At 44.2% G+C, this 22,454-nt stretch overlaps 1 protein-coding gene across 1 annotated transcript in view, besides 1 other annotated feature; it reads left to right on the plus strand.

Annotated features, from left to right (window-relative positions):
- LIPC (lipase C, hepatic type) overlaps nt 1-17,763 on the plus strand; it is a 137,854-nt gene extending 120,091 nt beyond the window's left edge. The window contains exons 7-9 of the mRNA NM_000236.3: nt 8,783-8,900; nt 11,424-11,642; nt 16,635-17,763. Coding sequence (NP_000227.2) covers nt 8,783-8,900; nt 11,424-11,642; nt 16,635-16,746 — 449 coding nt within the window. The 3' untranslated portion in view covers nt 16,747-17,763. The remainder of the gene's footprint in view (nt 1-8,782; nt 8,901-11,423; nt 11,643-16,634) is intronic.
- Nucleotides 9,107-9,636: an enhancer, noted in NCBI's record as "NANOG hESC enhancer chr15:58853387-58853916 (GRCh37/hg19 assembly coordinates)". NCBI's record gives its function as "activates a minimal SCP1, AML or CMV promoter by ChIP-STARR-seq in naive H9 embryonic stem cells {active_cell/tissue: H9 hESC(naive)}" and the evidence as "EXISTENCE:reporter gene assay evidence [ECO:0000049][PMID:30033119]".

The raw sequence follows: 22,454 nt of genomic DNA on the forward strand, positions 1-22,454 counted from the left end.
AACGGATCTGTACGGAGTAAATCCTGTTTCGCCAGTGCCTCCTCTCATTTCATCCTCAGAGCAGTCAGATGAGGTAACCGGGTGGAGAGGAGGGAAGGGGCCCTCGGGGGGCACTCTGCCCGGGCACTGGGCTGGATGTGTTGTACACGTTAGCTCATTTCCCATTTGATCCTCACAGCAACCCCCAGACAGGGAGAGACACACGCACACACAGAGACACGGTCAGGGCAAAGTCACACAATTTGTGAGCAGGAAGCATCGCATTGAATCCCAGCCTTTGCTCCTTTTACTGCACTTGGCCTCGGCGTAGGACCAAGGCCCTCGACTGAGTGCCTCTCCCTCCTGCGGCATTCCAGCTGCATGTCCCGCCTCCTCCTCTCTGCCCTCCTTCCACACTCCCTCTTCCATATCTCCTCCACTCTTCTCCTGTCTTCCCCGTGCTGCCCTTCCCCCTCCCCCGCCCCCTCACCCACGGCCCTGCACTCCAGGCTCCCTGGGTCGGGGGTGAGGGGCACTTGCTTCTGCTGCTCGCCGCAGCCATGAGAGCACCCTTCCTTGCTGGTCGGCGAGATGACGAGCCAAGCTGTGACTCGGGCAGTCGGTCTGTTTTTGGCTTCTCTCAGCTACTTCTTTGGAAGGTTTCCACTGACTTCAGGGAGAGTTCCAGAAGAAGCAGGGGGTGTCGTAGACAGCACAGGCTTGGGGTTGGGATAAGGAGTGTCAAGAATCTTGGCCTTGCTGCCAACCACTTATGTGACCTTGACCTAATGACAAAACCTATGTGGGCACCAAGGAAGAGGTGTGAATAGACATGGGGATGAACCACTAGCACGGGACCTGCAGGTGGGTCTCAAAACCTGCCCCGGTCAGTTCAGTGTGGAGGAAGGAAGTAGATGACACCCGATTAACACCTTCTGGAAGGCAGGCATTTTTTCATCGCCATCTTATCACATTTTTACAGCGACACTACAAGAAAGTTCCTAACCTGCATTCACAGATGAGGAAATCGAGCCCCAGAAAGGCTATGTGGTCTCCAGATCACAAGGAAGCAGGCATCAGAGAGGACTCAAACCCTGGGCTCTGTCTATCCGTTGAGGGCCCTTATTCCACCCACAGCACAAAGAGCTGGCAACAGGACGCCAGTCAGCACAACAGTCCTGGCCGCACACACACACTCCCCCATCTCCACCGCTCGCAGGCAGCAACAGACCCCCACAGAAGGGGCAGGCATTGGCCAGGCACGGTGGCTCACACCTGAAGTCCCAACACTCTGGGAGGCCAAGGTGGGAGGATCTCTTGAGCCCAGGCGTTCCAAACCAGCTCGGGCAACAAAGCAAGACGCCATCTCTACAAAAGAATTAAAAATTAGCCAGGTAGAGTGGTGCATGTCTGTAGTCCCAGCTACTTGGGAGACTGCAGGAGGGTTGCTTGAGCCTAGAAGGTCAAGGCTGCAGTGAGACATGATGGTGCCACTGCACTCTAGCCTGGGTGACAGAGTGAGACCCTGTTTCAAAAAAATTCAATTTAATTTTAAAAAGAAAGGGGCAAGCATCCAGTCTCGTGACATCAGGGCATCACTTAAATGGGACTGTACTGTTAAACCAAAATGTGGCCACGAAAATACCGACACATACAGGTGTTACATACAAAGGCTAACAAAATCACTTTCCCTTTTTCTTCTTCACTCGCGCCTGCTCTGAGTTAATTCACTTTCATTCAGCCTTGCCGGCACTGGCTGCCTTCTTTGGGCAGCAACACCCTGGACAACACCATCCTGGGCCCCTCAATCCTATGATCTTCAGCTTCCCTCTGAGTTAGAGGCATTTCGGGTCTAGGAACAAGCCCTCTGGGCTTGGAGAAAACACAAGAGGTCTCATTCCTACCATCTCCATGAGAGAAATCCATACACGGAGGGGGAAAAAAAAAAAGCCCTCTTTGATGTTTGCAAAGAGAGTCATAATATCTCCCAGAGCCAACATCTAATGATTCAGAATCATTGTTTCTGGGAGGCAAAAAATAGAAAGAAATATATTCTCTTTTCATAAATTCAATAACCTGATCTTGTGAAAAGAAAATGTAAGTTTTTTCTTTTTTAAATGGCACCAGCAGGGTCCACACAGGGTTACAATCCAGGATTTTTCCTAGTGAGGAGACTCTCCGGAGGCCTCAGATTTCTGCTGTAAATGGAGTTTCCCTGATCACATTCGAGGTCAATGGACTATTTCATGCCTTTCATCTTTAAGACCTGAAATAATTTCTCCTGCCAGAACTTGGGAGTATGTTGTACTGGTCTCTTTGCAGTCACAGGATTAAAAGCGTTTTCCCCAAATCATTTTTTAACGTCCTTATTAAACATGTCATAAGGTAAAGTGGGCAAAATCACTCACACTTTTTTCCTTAATCTTTGTAATAGCATCATTGTGCTGGGGGTGGCAGGGTAGAATGATAGGCAAATTGTCTTTTCTTTTCTTCCTTTTTTTTTTTTTTAAAGAAAAACACTTACAAAAATCCAAATAAGAGTAAATAATTAGGACTGGGTGTGGCGGCTCACACCTGTAATCCTAACACTTTGGGAGGCCAATGCAGGAGGATTGTGTGAGCCCAGGATTTTGAGACCAGCCTGAGCAACATACAGACCTCATCTCTACAAAAGAGGAGGAGGAAGAAGAAGAAGGAGGAGGAGGAGGAACTAGTTCTCAGCAGGAACCAGTTCTCAGCCTGAAAGACTCATTTATATTTAAAGTTAATTTCATTTAAAGATTTCTCCAAAAAAGGGCAGTCATGCAAGATTCTCCGTGCAGACATGGAGTTTCTCAGGAGTGCTCCTGCAAACTCAAGGGTGCCTCAGCCATCAGCGCAGGTTCCGTCCCCAGCCCGTTCCCTGGTGAGCCTCAGAAAGCATGCTGGCTTGGCTCTTCACAGCCCACACACCTTGGCACGTTCCATCCTCCTGCAGAGATGCTACTCTAGGGACACATGTTGTAGAAATAGGCAATTCTCATTCATAGGATGTGCAAGCTAAAGGGGCCTTTGCATCCTCTAAAGCTGACTCCTGGGTTTTACACAAGCACTTTCTCCTAAAATCGTGGAACCATAGCATCTCAAATGCAGAAATCAATCTCCTCCTACTCACAATTTAAGAAAAAGGGAAGAAAAAGTGTATCGCCAAGACAAGGGCATGAAACATTTTCCCCGGCTCAGGGGCCAGACGTTTAGGGGACAGGAGAGCGTCCTTTGTGGCAGCGATAGCCCAGGATGGATGTCAAGGGGTCAGAGCTGGCAGGCAGTTTGTCTTGGTGGCTTCATTAGAAGCAGGTGTTGAACCACAGCTTTTCTTCAGGGGCTGTTGGCCATTTGCTTTCAAGGGACAGACTCAGCTTGCAGAACGAAAACAGCAGGCGATATAGAAAGAGTCTTTTGGAATTAGACACACCTGGCTTTGAATCCTGCTCCACTGAACTATCTGGATAACTATAGGTCTCCAAACCTCCACTTCCTTATTTATATTCACCAGGATAATTAACACTGTGTCGGTCTAGGTCTCAGCAGAAAACAGGACTCCACTGGCCTGGATCAGCTGAAGAAAGCAAGTGGGACTCCTTACAACAGGGTGGGCAGTGTTAAGGAAACCAACAAGGACTGAGGCGACTCCCTGCCTCTAACAGCAGGACAGATGGAGCCAGGGAAGGGACTAGCTGTGGGAAAACCAGAGCCATGGAGGAGGGGCTGCTGATAATCGTGGGAGGGCAGTGGCTGCACAGTCAGGCTCCAGAGCACGGGGGAGCAGAGGGAAAATGCCCCTGCCTCTCTCTTCTCCGCCCTGATCTCCTGCTAGTGCCTCTCCCTCCAGTGGTCACACCCAACCAGAAACCAATCGACAAGGGAGCCCGGCAGATGCAGCCTAAGGGATCCCATCCTGGGGCTCAGAGCTGAGCAGTGGAGGGCAGAGTGGATGAGGACAGCAGGGGTAGAGGGAGCAGATGGGCACTACCCAGCAGGGCATCATTATTTAGCCTGTTATGAGGAGAAAGATGATGTATGTAAAACACTTAGTATGTAGCTTAACACATAGTAGGATCTCAACAAATGGGAGCTATTTTATCATCCTTGGTGTCTTTAATGCAGTTATATATGCATGTTGTTCTTCACTCAGAGAGCCTGTGAAGTACTCCTTGGAGGCCTAGTGTGTGCTGTGCCCTTGTGGAGATACAAGCAGTAGTGTGGTTCCGAGATGGCCTTTGGGGAGATAAGACATGGACACAGATGCCCGTGAGACAAGGCAGAGGCCACAAAGGACCACAACTTCTAGTTCTCTTTTTTTTCCTTTTCAATACTTGTAAAAGCTCTTTCTTTTTCCAATAGGATTCCAATTAGAATACACGTTTACTGCAGAAAATGTGAAACTTGCAGAAGAACATAAAGAAGAGAATAAAAATGACCACTCTGCCCTCTCCAGAGATAAGCACTGTTAATATTTTTGTGAATTCCCCTACTTCTATGCATTCTGTTTTGCAGAGTTGGTCTCATACTAGACAGTTTCGTAGCCTGTGTTTTTTTGTTTTTGTTTTCTTTTTCACTTCTTTCATAAGCATTGAAATCATTCCAAAAATAGCTTTTAATGGCTTCATAAGAGTAAATCACATGTTTGGGACAATGAACTGAGAATCAGCAGACTAACTTCTAATTGCAGCTTCATCAGTTATTAGCCACGTGACAACGACAAGTTACTTAACTTTTTCTGAGCCTCAGCTTCTTCCTTTGCAAAATGATGTGGGAGGGAAGATAAAGTAGGCATCTTATAAAGTTGTTGTAAAGAGAAATGAGATAATTATATGAAACTATTAGCTCAATGTCTGGGACATAGTGAAGCGCTAAATAGTAGTTATCATAATTGCTGTTATTAGTTCATAGCCATCCCTCTATTACTGAATATTTCAGGTGTTTTCAGTGTATTTTTACACAAATGTTAGGACATTTTTTAACTGAAATCTCTTTCCACAATTCAACTTTTTCCTTAGAATATATAAAGCTAGTGGTCCTGGGTATAAACATGTAAAAGTTCAAGTTCTGGAGTCAGGTTGTGTGAGCCGACGCCCCAGCCATATACGACTTACTAGCTGTGTGATCCGAGAAAAGTCACTTAACTTCTCTGTCCTTCAGTTTCCTCTTCTCTAAAATGAGATAATAATCGTATCATTTGTTTGAGGGTCAAGTGAGATGACAGAAGCAAAGCACTTGGCAAAAACCAAAATAGATATTAGCCAATGTTATTATCATGCATACTGCCATTATATGCTCTTTTTTTTTTTTTTTTTTTTTTTGAGATGTAGTCTTGCTCTGTCACCCAGGCTGGAGCGCAGTGGCGCGATCTCAGCTCACTGTAAGCTCCACCTCCTGGGTTCACACCATTCTCCTGCCTCAGCCTCCCCAGCAGCTGAGACTACAGGCACCCACCACCACGCCCCGCTAATTTTTTGTATTTTTAGTAGAGAACGGGGTTTCACCGTGTTAGCCAGGATGGTCTCGATCTGTTGACCTCGTGATCCGCCCCCCTCAGCCTCCCAAAGTGCTGGGATTACAGGCGTGAGCCACCGCGCCCGGCCTCATTATATGCTTTTAATTGCATTTAGCACTGGGCTAAACACACAGTAGACTTCCAATTAATACATATCATATTAAACTGAATTGAAGATCGGTTACTATGAGTGTTCCTTGAGAACTCTGGAAGGTACCCTGACTATTCATAAGGAGGTTAACCCAAGGCCAGTCCTCCCACATCTTACCCCCTCCCCCACTTTGGAAAGAACTTTCTTTTTGTCTCAGTTTGACTTACAAGACTGTTCATTTGTTACAGAGTTTCCTTGACAAACCCCCAAATAGTGTAAGACCTCTCCAGAGGCTTCTGGGATGACAGGCTAAGTCCCTCTCTCCAGTGGTGCCACCCAAGAGTTTAGGGACCCTTCCCAGGACTTGCGCCTATAGCTCTTTTCTTTTTTTTTTTTTCTTTTTTGAGACAGACTCTTGCCCTGTCACCAGGCTGGAGTGCAGTGGTGCAATCTCAGCTCACTGCAACCTCTGCCTCCTGGGTTCAAGCAATTCTCCTACCTCAGCCTCCCGAGTAGCTGGGACTACAGGCGCCCACCACCACACCCAGCTAATTTTTGTATTTTTAGTAGAGACGGGGTTTCACCATGTTGGCCAGGATGGTCTCAATCTCTTGACCTTGTGATCCACCTGCCTCGGCTCCCAAAGTGCTGGGATTACAGGTGCAAGCCACCGTGCCCAGCCAGCTGTTTTCTTACTTCTCACCCACAGCCTCTTTTGCTGTCTTGAGGGCATCACATTGCTTTATTCCAGGCTTGGGATTTGAGCATCTATTGTATTACAGCAGGGGTCCCCAACCCCCGAGCTACAGACAGTGGGCAATTAGGATCCGGGCCTCACAGCCAGAGGTGAGCAGTGGGCGAGCAAGCATAACCGCCTGAGCTCCACCTGTCAGAGCAGTGGCAACATAAGATCCTCATAGCAGCGCAAACCCTATTGTGAACTATTATGAGAATCTAATGCCTGATGATCTGAGGTGGAACAGTTTCATCCTGAAGCTATCCCCCCTGCCCCCACACTGGTCCATGGAAAAACTGTCTTCCATGAAACCCATCCCTGATGCCCAAAATGTTGGGGACTGCTGGTGTATAGGGTACTGTAGTAGGCACCAGATACTACCTGAGCTAGCTCTTATCTAAAGCAGAAAACTCTTGGCCAATAAATCAACTCTTAGTATTTGGCTCTTGTTGTGAACATAAATAAACATTTGGTGCTTCAGAGATAACCCCTTTAGTAAACCCAAGAGATATCCCCACTCACATGAGCAAATTATATACAAAATCCAAATGGGAAGATTAGTTTATGCCAAGGATAGGATTGTGTAATCTAGAAACTTGGCAATACAGGCATACCAGGACACTGGAGCTGGCAGTACCCTCTGCTGGGCTTGCTGTATAGCTACCAACCTCCGGTAGAAATAGTACCATTTAGGAGTTAGTAGATTGATTGATGAAGAGATGAATTTCCACATGCTGGGTACAAGGGATGGATAGTCAAGTGGCTAGTTACCGTGATCTAATTTTTTGAAATTCTCCTATGACAAAGCTTGAAACTCAGGTCTTGAATCCTCAGAGGTGATTTCCATGTTGTTAGATGTTAATGTGCATTGTGATACGTCACCCCCAAGCAAACCATCAGTTCATTCATCCCACAAAAGTTTATTAAGCACCTACTGTGTGCAAGGCACTGTTAGGATTCGTGGATTAACCATTGTCTAAACAGGAAAGGCAAATACGCAGCAAGTATTCCATAAATCCCTTATCCTTTTCCCAAACCAGACACTCATCTTGCCCCAAGCCCGGACATGGCCTCAGAATCCATCTCAACAGAGGGATCCAGGCAGTTCTTATCAATCAAATGGAATTAACATGCCGTATTAAACCTGTTTGCAATCTTGGAGCTAGAACACTGTAGATGCTTAGAGAATATGGAGACAAGAGAGCTCAGGAGGTCAAGGCTGCAGTAAGCCAAGGTGGCACTGCACCCAAGCCTCAGTGACAGAGAGAGACCCTGTCTCAAAAAAAAAAAAAAAAAAAAAAACCCAAAACAAAAACAAAAGCCAATCCTGGTCTGGAAGCTGGACCCTGCATCCAACCCTGGGGAATCCACTGGGGAGAATATGGAGACAAGAGAAAGAAGTCCAAGCAGTAATCAGCCATTTTGGAATGAGGTAGGATAATTTTCAAAACAGCTCCATAGCTGTGCCACCATGCAAGCTAAGCAAACACCATCTAGGGTGAGGGAAGCTAAGAGCACAGATGCTGCTATTTGACCTTAAGCAAGTCACTTTCATCTATCTGAGCTCCAGTTTTCTTATTTATAAAATGGGGGTGATAATAACAATGCCTACATCATAGCGTTGTGATGAGTAAATGAGATGATGCAATGCATTCAACAATGCAAAAATGTATTATCATTTAACGATGCCATGTATTTAACAACGCCTGTCTAATAGTAAGCCATTTGCTTTCAGTAACTAAATGTAGACTGTATTAGGTAAAGAAGAATAAAATAAATTATCCTCTTCCAACCAACCCATCAGTAGGAGGACATTCCAGACATGTGATAAAACAGAAAGATTTTAGGCCCAAGTTCTAGAACTACAGTTATCTTATTTCCATTAGGAAATACACTTATTGAAACTCACAGAGCTTGTTTCCAGGAACTGCCCCGGAATATAAACGCTTGGTCACTAGGGCATATATTTCTTGGCTGGAGCTCTGCCCCACCCTGAAACACACCCCATCAGAGAGCAGCAATAATGTAAAATGGCAATGTGTTCTCTCTTGCCTTGTCAAATGCCTAAAAGGCATATATTCTTTGATTTACGAAAGGAGACCCTCACCAAACACATGAAATATTACAGCAGAACTTGCATCTAGAACTCAGTGAGAATGCCAGATGTCCTATACTCCTATTCTGCCATCTTTTGTTGGTGAATATTTATCATTATTACATTACAAACACAATATAAGTCCTGAATAGACATTTAGGAAATACAGAGAAGGAAAAACAAGAAGATAAACCACCATTTAGGAGCAAAAAAATGTTGTTAACATATTAATATCTATCCAAACTCTTCCCTCTGCATGTTTAAATTTTAAGAAATAAGAGATTTTTAAATTTAAAATCACTGCTTAAATTATCTCTCTCTTTCTCTCTCTGTCTCTCTCTCTAGTTTATCATTACCAGTTCAAGATCCAGTTCATCAACCAAACTGAGACACCAATACAAACAACTTTTACCATGTCACTACTCGGAACAAAAGAGAAAATGCAGAAAATTCCCATCACTCTGTGAGTAGGAGGTGTAGCCCCCTAGGGTGATGACACACTTATTTTTCTTGCAGAACATAAATGGACTCTGTAATTTTCAAGAGTCAGGCCAGCTACAACTACTTTATTCCAGACGCAAACCAAAAACTATCTGAGACACATGTCAATCAATTTAGTTTATTTTGCCAAGGTTAAAGACATTACCGTGACACAGCCTCAGGAGGTCCTGGTGACCTGTATCCAAGGTGGTCAGGCTACAGCTTGGTTTTATACATTATAGGAAGATATAAGACATCAATCAGTACTTGTAAGATGTACACTGGTTTGGTCCAGAAAGGCAGGAGAACTCAAAGTGGTTTGGGGTTGGAGGTGCAGGGGAGCTTCCAAGTCATGGGTGCATTCAAAGATTTTCTGATTGGCATTGGTTGAATGAGTTTATCTAAAGATCTAGAATCAATAGAAGAGAGTGTCGGGATTAGATAAGGGGTTGTGGAGACCAAGGTTCTTATTATGCAGAAGAAGCCTCCAGGTAGCAGGCTTCAGAGACAATTGATTGTAAATGTTTCTTATCAGACTTAAAAAGGTGCCAGACTTAGTTCATTCTCTCCCAGATCAGTGAAAAGATCTGGATAGGGAAGGGAATTCTCTACAGAATGTAGATTTTCCCACCACAAGACAGCTGTTCAGGGCCCTTTCAAAATATGTCAAAGAAATATATTTTAGGGTAAAATAGTTTAATTTCTTTCAGGGCCTGCTGTCTGTCATGTGATGCTATACTAGAGTCAGGCTGGAATTTGGTGTCTTATTGCTACAAAAAGTCTGCTTCATCAGTCTTAAAATCTGGGTTTTAATGTTAATGCTGGTCAGTTGTGCCTGAATTCCAAAGGGAGGAGAGTATAAAGAGGCGTGTCCCACCTCCCCTTCCCACCATGGCTTGAACTTTGGAATGCCCTTGGCTGAGAGGAGGGGTCCATTCAGATGGTTGGAGGGCTTAGAATTTTATTTTTAGTTTACATGGGCTTGAGCATTTAAGCACCAATCACATACAGGGCACTGTGGTAGGCGCCAGATACTACCTGAGCTAGCTCTTACCTACAGCAGAAAACTCTTGGTCCACAAGTCAACTCTTAGTGTTTGGTTCTTTTTGTGAACATAAATAAATATTTGGTGCTTCAGAAACAACCCCTTTAGTAAACACAGCCCATCCCACATGGCCATCCTGGTCAGACAGGACATCCACCCAAGCCCGAACCCTCACGTCCCTCCTCAGCCTCTCCAGCTCCCACCAACTGCTCAATGTTATGCACTGTGGGCTGAGCAGACAGGGAAGCCAGAGATGGCCCCACTAGGGCCTGCAGTGCAGAGGCAGGTGGTGAGGGGCGGAGCAGGTGTTCCCAAGAGGTCCCAAGAGCCTTTCCAGTGAGTTCATAACCCAGAAATTCAAGTGGTATCTTTTGACTTGGCACAGATTTCCAATTTCAATCAGCCTGCTCTGCCAGCCTCCCCATCTGTCCTTCACCCTGTTACCCACCTGCTCACTCTGAGGCTCCCCAGCCTCTCTGGCCTCTCAACCCTCAGCATGGACTCTCCCTGGAAAGTGACACTAGCCCCTCACCCACTCCAGAGATGATCCTGAGCTTCCCGAAAATTGCCCCCAGCTTTGGATCTCTGATCATCACACTGATTCAGTCATTCAGCAAGCATTTGTTGATGCTCTGTCCAACACCTACCTAAGGATACAGAGGACCCTAGCCTCTGGATGCTCACAACCTGGCAGGGCGGGGGGATTCCTAAACAATTCTTCACAGCATACTCGGGAAGAGCTATGCCAAGCCACACAAGGGACCCCCCCCCAACCCCACCATCCATCTGCCTCGCCCTAAATCCACTGCTGCCTCTGCACTGCCAAAAATCTCTCCCAGGGGATGGTTCTCAATAGTGGAAAGGGCATCTCGCTGCTCTGTCAACGTTGGGATATTTTAGTGTCTTGGAGATTAGTGAGTAAAGCTGATCATGATACCTCAGAGTCTGCATTTAAATCTTGCTCTAAATCGGTGCATCCTTTTTATGTGTAGTTTTTCTATTACTGTTATGCCTCACTGTTTTAACAGAGGTTTCTATTTATATGGGGGGAGGAGCATTACTTGGGAGAGAGTGCATGCTGCAGGCATACTATGTTAAACCTACAGAGAGCTGAACTGTCCAGACGCCGTTGCCAAAGCCCCACTGTCTCCACAGCGGCTTCTTCCTAGAAGCTAAGCTAGAGAAAGTTAACTAGATTTGTTATAGTGGGACTTCTCGGAGCCTTTTTGATGTGTTAACCAGAAAATAGTATAGTTTTCGCAATTTTATTATCTGGAAATCCCTTTTTTATCCTGGCACACCTACTGCTAACTCTATCAATAGTCTGTTGAACACTAGTTTGGGAAATGCAGCAAAAATCCCAAGTCATTCAGGGAAACACAACACATCCTGAATGTGTGTGACCGTCACTTTGCTGTTACGACTAAACTGATTGTGTCTGATTTTCTTTGTGTATTCAAGGGGCAAAGGAATTGCTAGTAATAAAACGTATTCCTTTCTTATCACGCTGGATGTGGATATCGGCGAGCTGATCATGATCAAGTTCAAGTGGGAAAACAGTGCAGTGTGGGCCAATGTCTGGGACACGGTCCAGACCATCATCCCATGGAGCACAGGGCCGCGCCACTCAGGCCTCGTTCTGAAGACGATCAGAGTCAAAGCAGGAGAAACCCAGCAAAGGTGACTGCTGATTCAATCTCCTATTAACGTCCATTAAGCACCCACTTGTGCCAGGCAGTCTCACAATTTAATACTCACATTCATCATGTGAGGTGAGTATTATTAGGCCCTAGTGATGGAGTACAGAAGCTCAGAAAGGTGAAGTGACTATCCCAACTTTACACAGCCACAGGTGCCAGGACAAGGATTCACACCCAGGTCTTTGAATACACACCAGGGTCTCCCCACTGCCCGTGGCTAACGCTGCCTGCCTCTGGAGCCTGAGGACCATCACACGAACCCCAGGCTTCTCAAGCTTCGGTGCAGGTGAATCACCAGGTGATGTCAGTGCTGCCAGTCCAAGGTGCTGTGGTAGATGCAACATCTTTTTTTTATTGTTTGCCCAAAGAAAATCTTTTAACAGATCACAATATCAAAAATCTCGATGTATCTCTCTCTCTCTCTCTCTCTCTGTGGTCGTATCTTTCAAATGTCAGTTGCCAAAGAATCACTGGGAAGCCAAACACATTTGCAGAATTCCTGGACCTACCCGCAGATTCATGGTGGGCTTGGGAAGGGGTCCAGGATGCCTGTTGTTGAATCAGAGCCCTAAGAAACTCCAATGTAGAACAATGGGTCACCCGAAAGAAATGCTGCTGTGTTTGATTTAACATCTCCCGTGGCCCCAAAGTCTCCAGGGATACGAAGGAGCTGGGGTGGGGAGCAAAGAAAAGGAAGGACAGGGCTGGGCGTGGTGGCTCACACCTGTAATCCCAGCACTTTGGGAGGCCTTGGCGGGCGGATCACCTGAGGTCAGGAGTTCAAGACCAGCCTGGCCGACATGGTGAAATCCCGTCTCTACAAAAATACAAAAATTAGCTGGGCGTGGTGGCGCACAATGGTAGTCCCAGCTACTCGGGGGGCTGAGGCAGAAGAATCAGTTGAACCCAGGAGGTGGAGGTTGCAGTTAGCCGAGATCGCGGCATTGCACTCCAGCCTGGATGACAGAGAGAGAGACTCCGTCTCAAAAAATAATAATAATAATAGAAAAGAAAAGGAAGGATGCTCCAGCGCTCCTGAAGTCCTCCCAGCAAAAGAAAGGGCTGCCCAGCACACCCTGCCATAGCAACCGTGCTTTTCGGTCATCCGTGGTTCTCCACGGCAGAATTCCAGGCATCCCCGGGCCCTCTCCTCTCTCTTCCCTTCTCTATTCAGGAAACGGTCTCTCCTCTCCCACCTTCACTTGTCGCGAAGGCCATGTTTCTCTTTGGCTTGTCCTCATAGAGGTGGAAAACAGCAGGTTTCTAACCTCTGAACTACCCTCTTCCGTCACCCCCTGGGTTTCACTGCCAGATGCCGGCCTGTGGCAGATGTATGCCCCTGAGTCCCTTTATACAACCGCACTCTGAGATTTTATCTCCCTGGGATGCAAAATCCTGGCAATTACTGAGAGCATACTCTGCCGTCTGCCAACAGATCTCCCAACAGGATCAATCTGGGAAGATTAAACTGCTCGCTCCTCTTCTGCACTGAGCTCTTCTCACATGACTCTTTGGCCCATTGGAGCAGCGCTGCTTCTGAGCTCTGACCCTGCCCAGATGCTCTTAGCTGGAGAGTAATTCCTCAGTTTAGGTGGCTGCTCACCCTGACAATCCCATGTGGCTTGACCTGAAAGGGTGGCTAAAGCACAACACTACCTTCTCCACTGGGGCACACCCATGTGGTACGGAAGAAGAAATGAGGAGAGGGAGGGGCCTGGCCCTTCCAGGGCTCCCACACGGGGTGAGCATTGAAGCAGGTGCTCCATGGCATTGGTCTCACGTGATCTTTGCTGTGATCCTGAAATGGGTAGTATTGGCTGTGCAGATTAGGAACCTGAGGCTCACAGAAGTTACACAGCTTGAGGACATTGCTCAAAATTGTCCCAGTCCAGATTTGACTGGGATTTGTCTGATTTATTACCCATTTGTTGGGGGTGTGCTGTTTCCAACAGTTCCTTCTTCCATTAGTTTTGGTTCCATTAATCTGAATTTTCTCAGTCTAATCTAGCAGAGTTGCAGTGCTGGACATTAACATATGTATGCATCAAACCCATCCTTAGGGCTGTAGGAGGTACTGTATGCGGGTTATGGGAGCTATAATTTTTTTTAGGTTGTAAATACCGAGTGCCTCCTCTGTGTCTACACAGTGCCAGGTACTATCGGAGAATACAAAAAAAAAAAAAAAAATCTGAGTTGTGGCTCTTGGTAGAAATAAACTCCAGGACCTAACCAGGAAAATAAGATGAATTAATTTTACTAACGGTGTGGTCCATCCCAGGGCTTCTCAAACTTTCACGAGCATACAAAGCATCTGGGAATCATGTTAAAATGCAGGTTCTGCTTTAGTGAGTCTGGGGTGAGCCTGATGTTCTGCATTTCTAACAAGCGACCAGGCAATGCTGTTGCTGCAGGTCAACAGACCACACTTTGAATAGTGAGAGTCCAGCATTACACAACCCGGGAAGTGTAAGAAGAAAGTTCAGACCCGTACACTTGGGGCTGTGCTGCAACATGCTTTGAGGAGGCCAAGAGGTGTTCCCAGGGAGACAGGCAGCCGGCAAAGCAATATGGCTGGCAGGATCGGATGGACTCCAGTGTCAGCCAGTCCTAAACTCACATTTTAACTTCACTGCTCACAATCTGTGTAGCCTCAAACAATAACTTCACTCTTCAAGACTCAGTTGTTTAGTGATAAACGAGAATCATAATATACATTTCATGAGACTAATAACAACTACTAATTTTTTAGTGCCTTTTGCAGACCAAAATCCCAGAATCGGGATGGGAACATTAAACTCTACACTCGTAATATCGCTGCTAAGTGCAAGTGGGAAAAGAAGTAGGTTAAGTAACTTGCTCTGTGCCTCCATGGAAGAAATTCAGTGGAAGGTGGTTTTCTTCCCCCAAAGGCACAAAATCAGGGATGAGTAGGGTTGTGGAGATGGTGAAGAGAAAGAGAAGAAATTATTGGCCCTACAGCAAGACCAAGTATAATAACTGGCTAAACCTAATGAGAAGACATTCAATTTCCACAGTACTCATATAAATGCAAAATAAAATCAAAGAAATTATCACTGGTTACTCATTAGTTTGGCAGGAATTCAAAAACGGACAACACCCAGAGTTAGTAAAGATGTGGAGAAACGGGCATTCTCATACACTATTAGTGAGAGTGTAAATTACAGGCATTTTGTAGGGGAATTTCATTCAACAACTAACGTTTAGTGAGTACCTACCTTATGCCAGACAATGTTGTGGACACCAGATGTATAATAGTGAACAGACAGGCTGGGCTAAAATACAAAAAAATTAGCCGGGCGTGGTGGCGCATGCCTATAATCCCAGCTACTCGGGAGGCTGAGGCAAAGGAATCGCTTGAACCCAGGAGGCAGAGGTTGCGGTGAGCTGAGATCACACCACTGCACTCCAGCCTGGCGACAGAGCGAGACTCCGTCTCAAAAAAAATAAAAAATATATATATATATATGTATATATGTGTGTGTGTGTATATATATATGTATATGTGTGTGTGTGTGTGTATATATATATACATATATATATACATATATATGTATATGTGTATATATATATATATGTATATGTATATATATATATGTATATGTATATATATATATAGTGAACAGACAGAGTCCTTGGTCTCATGAAGTTTACATTATCACATGTTTAAATATGCATACTACTTTGAGCCAGAATTTTATTTCTAGGTGTCTTATCATCTTTCTGGAGTATCTGTGCACATAATCAAAATATGCACAAAGGCTATATATGAATACATATGTACAGAATGTTTGTTGCAGTACTATTAAATAAATACTATACATAATAAGTAAATAGTAAACTCTTGAGAAAATCTTAATGTCTAACAGTAGGAAAATGCATTGTGGTTCATCCTTAAAATGGAATGTCATGAAGCAGGTGAAAAATAGTGAAATAGACTTCTACCTACTGATATGAGCAAGTCTCTGAGTACCATTTTCTGGTAACAGGAAAAATTGCAGGAAAACATACACAACATGATGCCACTCAATATATGTAAATGCATAGGAACAAGTCTGGAAATGCATAAACCAAATCATAAATGTAGAGAGGGGAGTGATGTTAGTGAAGGCCGATGGTGAAGAGGTTCTTTATTATTTGGCTTCATTTATTCCTTTACCATTTGAATTTTCAAGAATGCATTCACAAATTACTCATAGCATTTTTAAATTTTAAAAGTCCAGTTTAGTGAAGACTTGACCTTAGACGCAATTCAAAGAAAAAAGAAGTAATAAACTAGAATTTTTCTACAGATATATCTATAGATATATATTTAACAGATGCAATTGGAAATAATAACACAAAATGGTATCTCGGGCCAAGCCAACAGCCAAAGCAGTCTAGTTGTTGTTTCCAAAACACATAGTAGTGTCCTCTTTAGTGGACAATGTCAGCTCCAATATGAGGAAGGGGCAGGGCTTACAGGGCTGAGCCAGGCAGAAACCGATGACACTGGCCTCATGCCAAGGACCTTTAAGAACAGCATTTACAAACTGGAGCTTGTCCAAGGAGGGAAGGCTGAGGAGGTAAGCTTGCCTTAGGAGGAAGGGTTGAGGAACTAGAAATGTTTGCCCTGAAGTCAAGGCAAATGTGGTCAAGGAAACAATAGTCACCCTCAAATCTTCGATGAGCTGTCATAGGGGAGAACAAAGGAGGGCTGCCCCAGGACTTTCCTTCTTACAGAACTGAAATCACCCCAGTGTAGAACTCCAGGAAGTCTTACACTGATGGCTTTCACTGACTTGGGTTTTGTTTTTCTCTGAAGTTACAAAAATATTTGCGAACATAAGAATCTAACTTAAAAAAAGACATCACATGCCTTACACAAATTGAGTGAAATTTGATAAAGAATGAAACACTTCAATAAGCTCCACCTAAAACTTAATGCTGTGTTTGCTTCCTGTTTTCTATTCAGAATGACATTTTGTTCAGAAAACACAGATGACCTACTACTTCGCCCAACCCAGGAAAAAATCTTCGTGAAATGTGAAATAAAGTCTAAAACATCAAAGCGAAAGATCAGATGAGATTTAATGAAGACCCAGTGTAAAGAATAAATGAATCTTACTCCTTATCTGGAATGGCTGCCTTATTTAGAAGCCAAAATTACATAAAGAATCTCACACAAAGCTTAAATAAAGTTTAGATTTAAGGGGGGTATGTTTCACTCTCATAAACTGAGCTTTTAAAAACGATATGATATAACTATTTTCCAGTATCAGTACAACCAAAAATGTCCCAATTTTATCTCTGGTTAAATGTTAATATATGCAAATAAGTACAAATGCAAGAGCCATTTTAGATCTGTTGTTCTAATTTACAATGTCTTTTATAATTAAGTTTCCCACATGTCCTTGCTAGTTTATTATGACCCATTTTTGAACCATGCTAGAAAGATACTTTTTTATTAGGTAACTAGTGCTTCAATAAAGCAAGATTCTAATTAATCACCACTAGTTGTGTATACCAAATACACATCCTTTAAGACAATACAGTTCTTAAAAGAAGAAAAATTATAATTATTCTAATATTTATACAAATCATATAACGATTTCACAGAACCAAACACTTACAAGTAGAATTCTACTAAAACTACTTGTGATAACAGTGAAAGCTAGACATGTGGTCATTTTAATAATGGAATTACAAATTAAATAAACATAATTATTATATCTTACTAATGCTTGCAACAAAAGCTAATTTTAAAAACTTGGAATGTCTCAAAGCATTTGCTATGGACTGAATGTTTGAGTCACCCCAAAATTCATATGCTGAAATCTAATCCCCAATGTGATGGTGTTTGGAGGTGGGGCCTTTGGGAGGTGATCAGGTCATGAGGGTGGAGCCCTCATAAGTGGGATTAGTGCCCTTATAGGGGATAAAGGATCAGAACTCTCTGCCATGTGCGGATATGAGAAGGCAACTATATGCAAACCAGGAAGTTGACCCTCACCTGGAAGTAGACTACCAGATCTGCTGGCACCTTTATCTTGGACTTCTCAGCTTCCAGAACTGTGAGAAATAAATGTTTCTTGTTTAAGCCATCCAGACTATGGTAATTTGCTATAGAAGCCTGAACTAACTGAGAGAGTTAGATGTCAAATTTCAAACTGTCCAATAAGTGAAATAATAATGTTTTGACCAGCAAATTCCATCACAAAGCACATGGTGACAATGGACGCTAAATATGGTAATCAGTTAGATATGTGTTTTACATAATTCAGAGAGGAGGAACATGTTATGCACATTAAACAAGCTAACCTAACTTGCACTTAGGCTCAGCTATATACAGACCATAATTCATATTCTCTTCACCAAAGCGGGGTAAACTGGGGCTCATGAAAACAAAAATCCTGGAAAGATGTCTGCCTCTGACTAATCAATTTAAAATTATCTTGCATGATTCACTTTTATTTCCCTTTGAAAGACCTAGAAATCTAAAACTTATGGGGTGGTGGGATAGGAAGAACAGCTGGTCAATGTTTCCAAATGAAGCATTCTGTCCTGAATGCTAATCTTACCTGCAAAAGTATTTGACCCTACTTTTAGGGAATGTGTGTGAGTGTGTGTCTAAAATTGATAGATAATAAAATGAACATTTCCCATTATGTCTAGAATACTAAGGTTTACAATAAAATGTTTGCATTGGATTGCCAGGTTTTATCATTAACGATCCAGAAGGAATTTAGAATATCACTTTTGAAAAACAACAGGGAAACACTCTTTGCTGTATATGCAACAGAGTCCATGCATATGTATTCCAGGAGACATGTATGTGAGCCTTGAAATCATCGCAGCCAGAAACAGCCCAAATGTCTGCCAGTACGATGCAGAAATGAACTGGGTTATAGTCTTGCTAATGGACTGTCGTACAACCGTAAGAAAGATAAGCCAAAGCTACACACACAAAAGAACAGAGCTGGGGCCAGCGTGAGGCAGCGAGGCATCTAGGGAGCAACATTTAAGGAAGCACTCATGCATTTTTCGTTTGCACAAAGACACAAAAAAAGGTATAGTATGATACAAACAATGGATAAACACCTGTAATCCCAGCACTTTGGGAGGCTGAGGCAGGCTGATCAATTGAGGTCAGGAGTTCGAGACCAGCCTGGCCAACATGGTGAAACCCGGTCTCTACTAAAAATACAAAAATTAGCTGGGCATGGTGGCGCATGCCTGTAATCCCAGCTACTTGGGAGGCTGAGGCACAAGAATCCCTTGAACCCGGGAGGCAGAGGTTGCAGTGATCTGAGATCGCGACACTGCACTCCAGCCTGGGCAATAGGGTGAGACTCCGTCTCAAAAAAAAAAAAAAAAAAACCAAAAGGAAACAAAACAATAAAATCATTATCACAAAAGGAAACAAAACAATAAAATCATTATCACAAAAGTGAGGCTGTGATAATCCCAGGAAAGAGGAAGGGCACCCTGGAGTTCCAGGTGCCAGCAATAGTCTACTTCTTACTCCAGGTGGTGGGTACACACACGTTCACTGATTTAACCGTTCTATATACATCTACATTTCACGCACTTTTTAGTATGAATGTCACCTTTCACAATGTGAAAATTAAAAAGGGAAAATAAAGGGCAGAGTTAAACAAACATGTTTCTACTATAGTGTGATATGTTTCAAAAGTAATATAGTTTCACAAGCAATATAATTAGAAATTATTTCATCTTTAGTAAGAAAACTTGAAGTGCCACAATACATGGTAACATTTTGGGCAGAGAATTCAACAAGCATCCAACGTGACAAGTGGTTAACTGGAACATTTGAAACTCCTCTTGGCATGTCCAAATCTGGTTGCCAATTCTGTTGTCGGTGGATTATTTTCACTTGGAGGGATGTGTTCATCGACATCACATTTTCTTAAGTATATTCGAGTAGGGAAGTCAAATTGGGAAACTGAATAATGCAGTCACATCTGTTCGTTGCACATGCAAAATGCTGGCTCGTGAACTGATTATACACACCTCTCTCCAAAGAATCTGCATTTATGAGCCCACTCAGGAAAGATAACACTAGCATCTTGCCTTTTAGGCAAAAGCTTATTTGTGCTTCTCTTGTAAGAGAGCACTGGGAAAGAAATGGAATGTCGATTACACTGCAGCTGGGCTCTTTGAGGTGAGTAAGTCAGAGAGAGAAGGAAACAAGCACTCCATTCAACATTAAAATGAACGCACTCTGCTGCATCGCAAAGCTCCCTGTCCTCAATGTTCACCTTGAGTCATGTCGGCCGCAAATACTGCAAAAGCTTGGATTGCAATACACGTCTGTGGGGCAGCAAGGCAAGGGGTAAAGCTGCCCAGTGCTGTGCTTGCCCTCCCACAGAGGCTGGACCAAAGTAAAGTCAGAGGGATGGGAAATAGACAAGCAAGATGAAGACTAAAGAAAGTCAGTCCCAAAAGGGACCATTTACATGGTCCCATAATACATACTTCTATTTGAATCCCAATGATCCGTACATGATTAATGGCTCCCGACACATCTCATTCCTTCCCTTCTCTTATCCCTTCCTCCTTTTCTTTTCTCCCCTGGAATTGCTCTGCCTAACTTAGTCCTATTTATCTACCCAGGCCCAGTTATTTTCACCAGTTGCCTCCTAGCCTGGCCAGGCCACAGAGATCTTTCTCTCTTCTGAGCGCCTGGCAATCACATAAGTGACGCTCTCCGCCATCCACTTGGCCTTTAGTTATTTGTGCCCCGCTGATTCCCCTCCAACCTCCCAGCCTCCCTGCTGCTCCCTGCCCTCCATTCAACCATTCCAGGGGAGCCCAGACCTCCTTCCCTACTCGCACGTTTCTCTCTTTATAGGCAATCTCACCCACTCCTATGGCTTTATTTATGATCAACCACATAGGCCAACCATTCTCAGTGTAGAGCTCCAGCCTGGGCCTTCTCTCCAGACCCGTATTCCCATATATTATGCAATTGTCCATTCCACAGTTCCCGCTGTGTCATCTCTCCCTGCATCCAAAAATGAATGCATGATGTTTCTTGCCCCTGGAACCTGCTCATCCCCATTCTCTCTGTTGTTTATCTCCTTGAAGGTCATTACCACCCACCCAGTTGCTGGTGGTGGACTCTGGGGAGTCATCCATTATGTGTCCTCCCCTTTGGCCCCTCACAATCCAATGATCACCATATTCCATGAATTCTACTCTTATTTCTTAAGCGTGTCTATGTCTCCCCACCTCTACTGCCATCAACCCAGCCCAAGCCGAACTATCGCTTACCCAGACATTTGCAACAACTTTCCAACTCATCCCTCAGACACCCTCCTCCCTCTCAATCCCTTCCCCTCACAGCGACCAGAGTGATCTTAAAAAAAAAAAAAAAAAAAAAAGGTTATATCATTTTCCTGCATAAAGCCCTCCCAATGACCTCCCACGTTTTTTGGAAAAAGTCCAAAATAATTACCCTGGCCTTCAAGGCTCCCAGTCAAGCCCCTACTTTTCTCCCCAGTCTTGCCTCCCATTACTCTCTGTCTGTCACTCACTAGGCCATTGTCCAGCTCCACCCACGGAGTGTCCGCCCAGCCTGCATTTTATTTTTAATTTTTATTTATTTATATATTTATTGGAGACAAAGTCTCACTCTGTCACCCAGGCTGGAATGCAGTGGTGCAATCACAGTCATTGCAGCCTTGACCTCCTGGGGCTCAAACAATTCTCCCAGCTCATCCTTCCGAGTACCTGGGACTACAAGTGCACACTGCCACATCCATCTAATTCCTAAATGTTTTGTAGAGACAGGGGTCTCACTATGTTGCCCAGGTTTAGCGTGCACTTTAGAAATGCCTGAGGAGCTTTAAAAACTAGCCCTGCCTCAGCCCCACACCTAGAGATTTTTTACTTAATTGGACTAGGGCAGGGCCCGGAGATTAAGACTGTTGAAAGCTCCCCAGGTGATCCTAATATGCACTAAGTTTGAAACCCAGAGGTCTAGACAACACCAGCCACCTCAGTTCCTTCAAAAGCGCAAAGCTCTCTCCTTGGCCCCTTCTGTTGCTTACACTCCCACCTCTCCTCCATTGCATGCTTGCAGCTCCAAGTTAGGTGTTACTGCTTGGGAGATCATTTAACAATTATCTCATCCTACCCGAGCTTCAAGCAGCTCACCCTGCCATCCATAGTCAATGTTTTTTTATTCTCCTGGTGAAATGATTTGTGGCCATGCCATGCAGAGCCACATTGGAGCCTGAGGCAAAAGGAAAAATCAGTAATAGTGAACCTGTGTTTATTTATATATTTATTTTTTAGATGGGTCTCACTCTGCTACCCAGACTGGAGTACAGTAACATGATCACAGCCCATTGCAGCCTCAACCTCCTGAGCTCGAGGGATCCTCCCACCTTAGCCTCCCAAGTAGCTAGGACTACAGGTGCATGCCACCAAGCCCAGATAATTTTTATATTTTCTATAAAGACAAGGGTTGCCCAGGCTAGTCTTGAACTCCTGGGTTCAAGCAATCCACCCTCCTTACCTTCCCAAAGTGCTGGGATTACAGGAGTGAGCCACTGCACCCAGCCTGATCTTGCTGTCACCTAGGCTGGAGTGCAGTGGCCAAATCAGAGCTCACTGCAGCCTCAACCTCCTGGACACAAGCAATCTTCCGGCCTCAGCCTTCCAAGTCACTGGGATTAGATGTGAGCCACCATGACAGCAAAATGTTTATATTTTATGTATCATAGATTTTTGCATTCATTTCCATTAGAAAAATTTTTGCATTAAA

This window comes from Homo sapiens, chromosome 15 (genome assembly GCF_000001405.40).
Source record: "Homo sapiens chromosome 15, GRCh38.p14 Primary Assembly".
In the NCBI taxonomy this organism is placed as follows: Eukaryota; Metazoa; Chordata; class Mammalia; order Primates; family Hominidae; genus Homo; species Homo sapiens.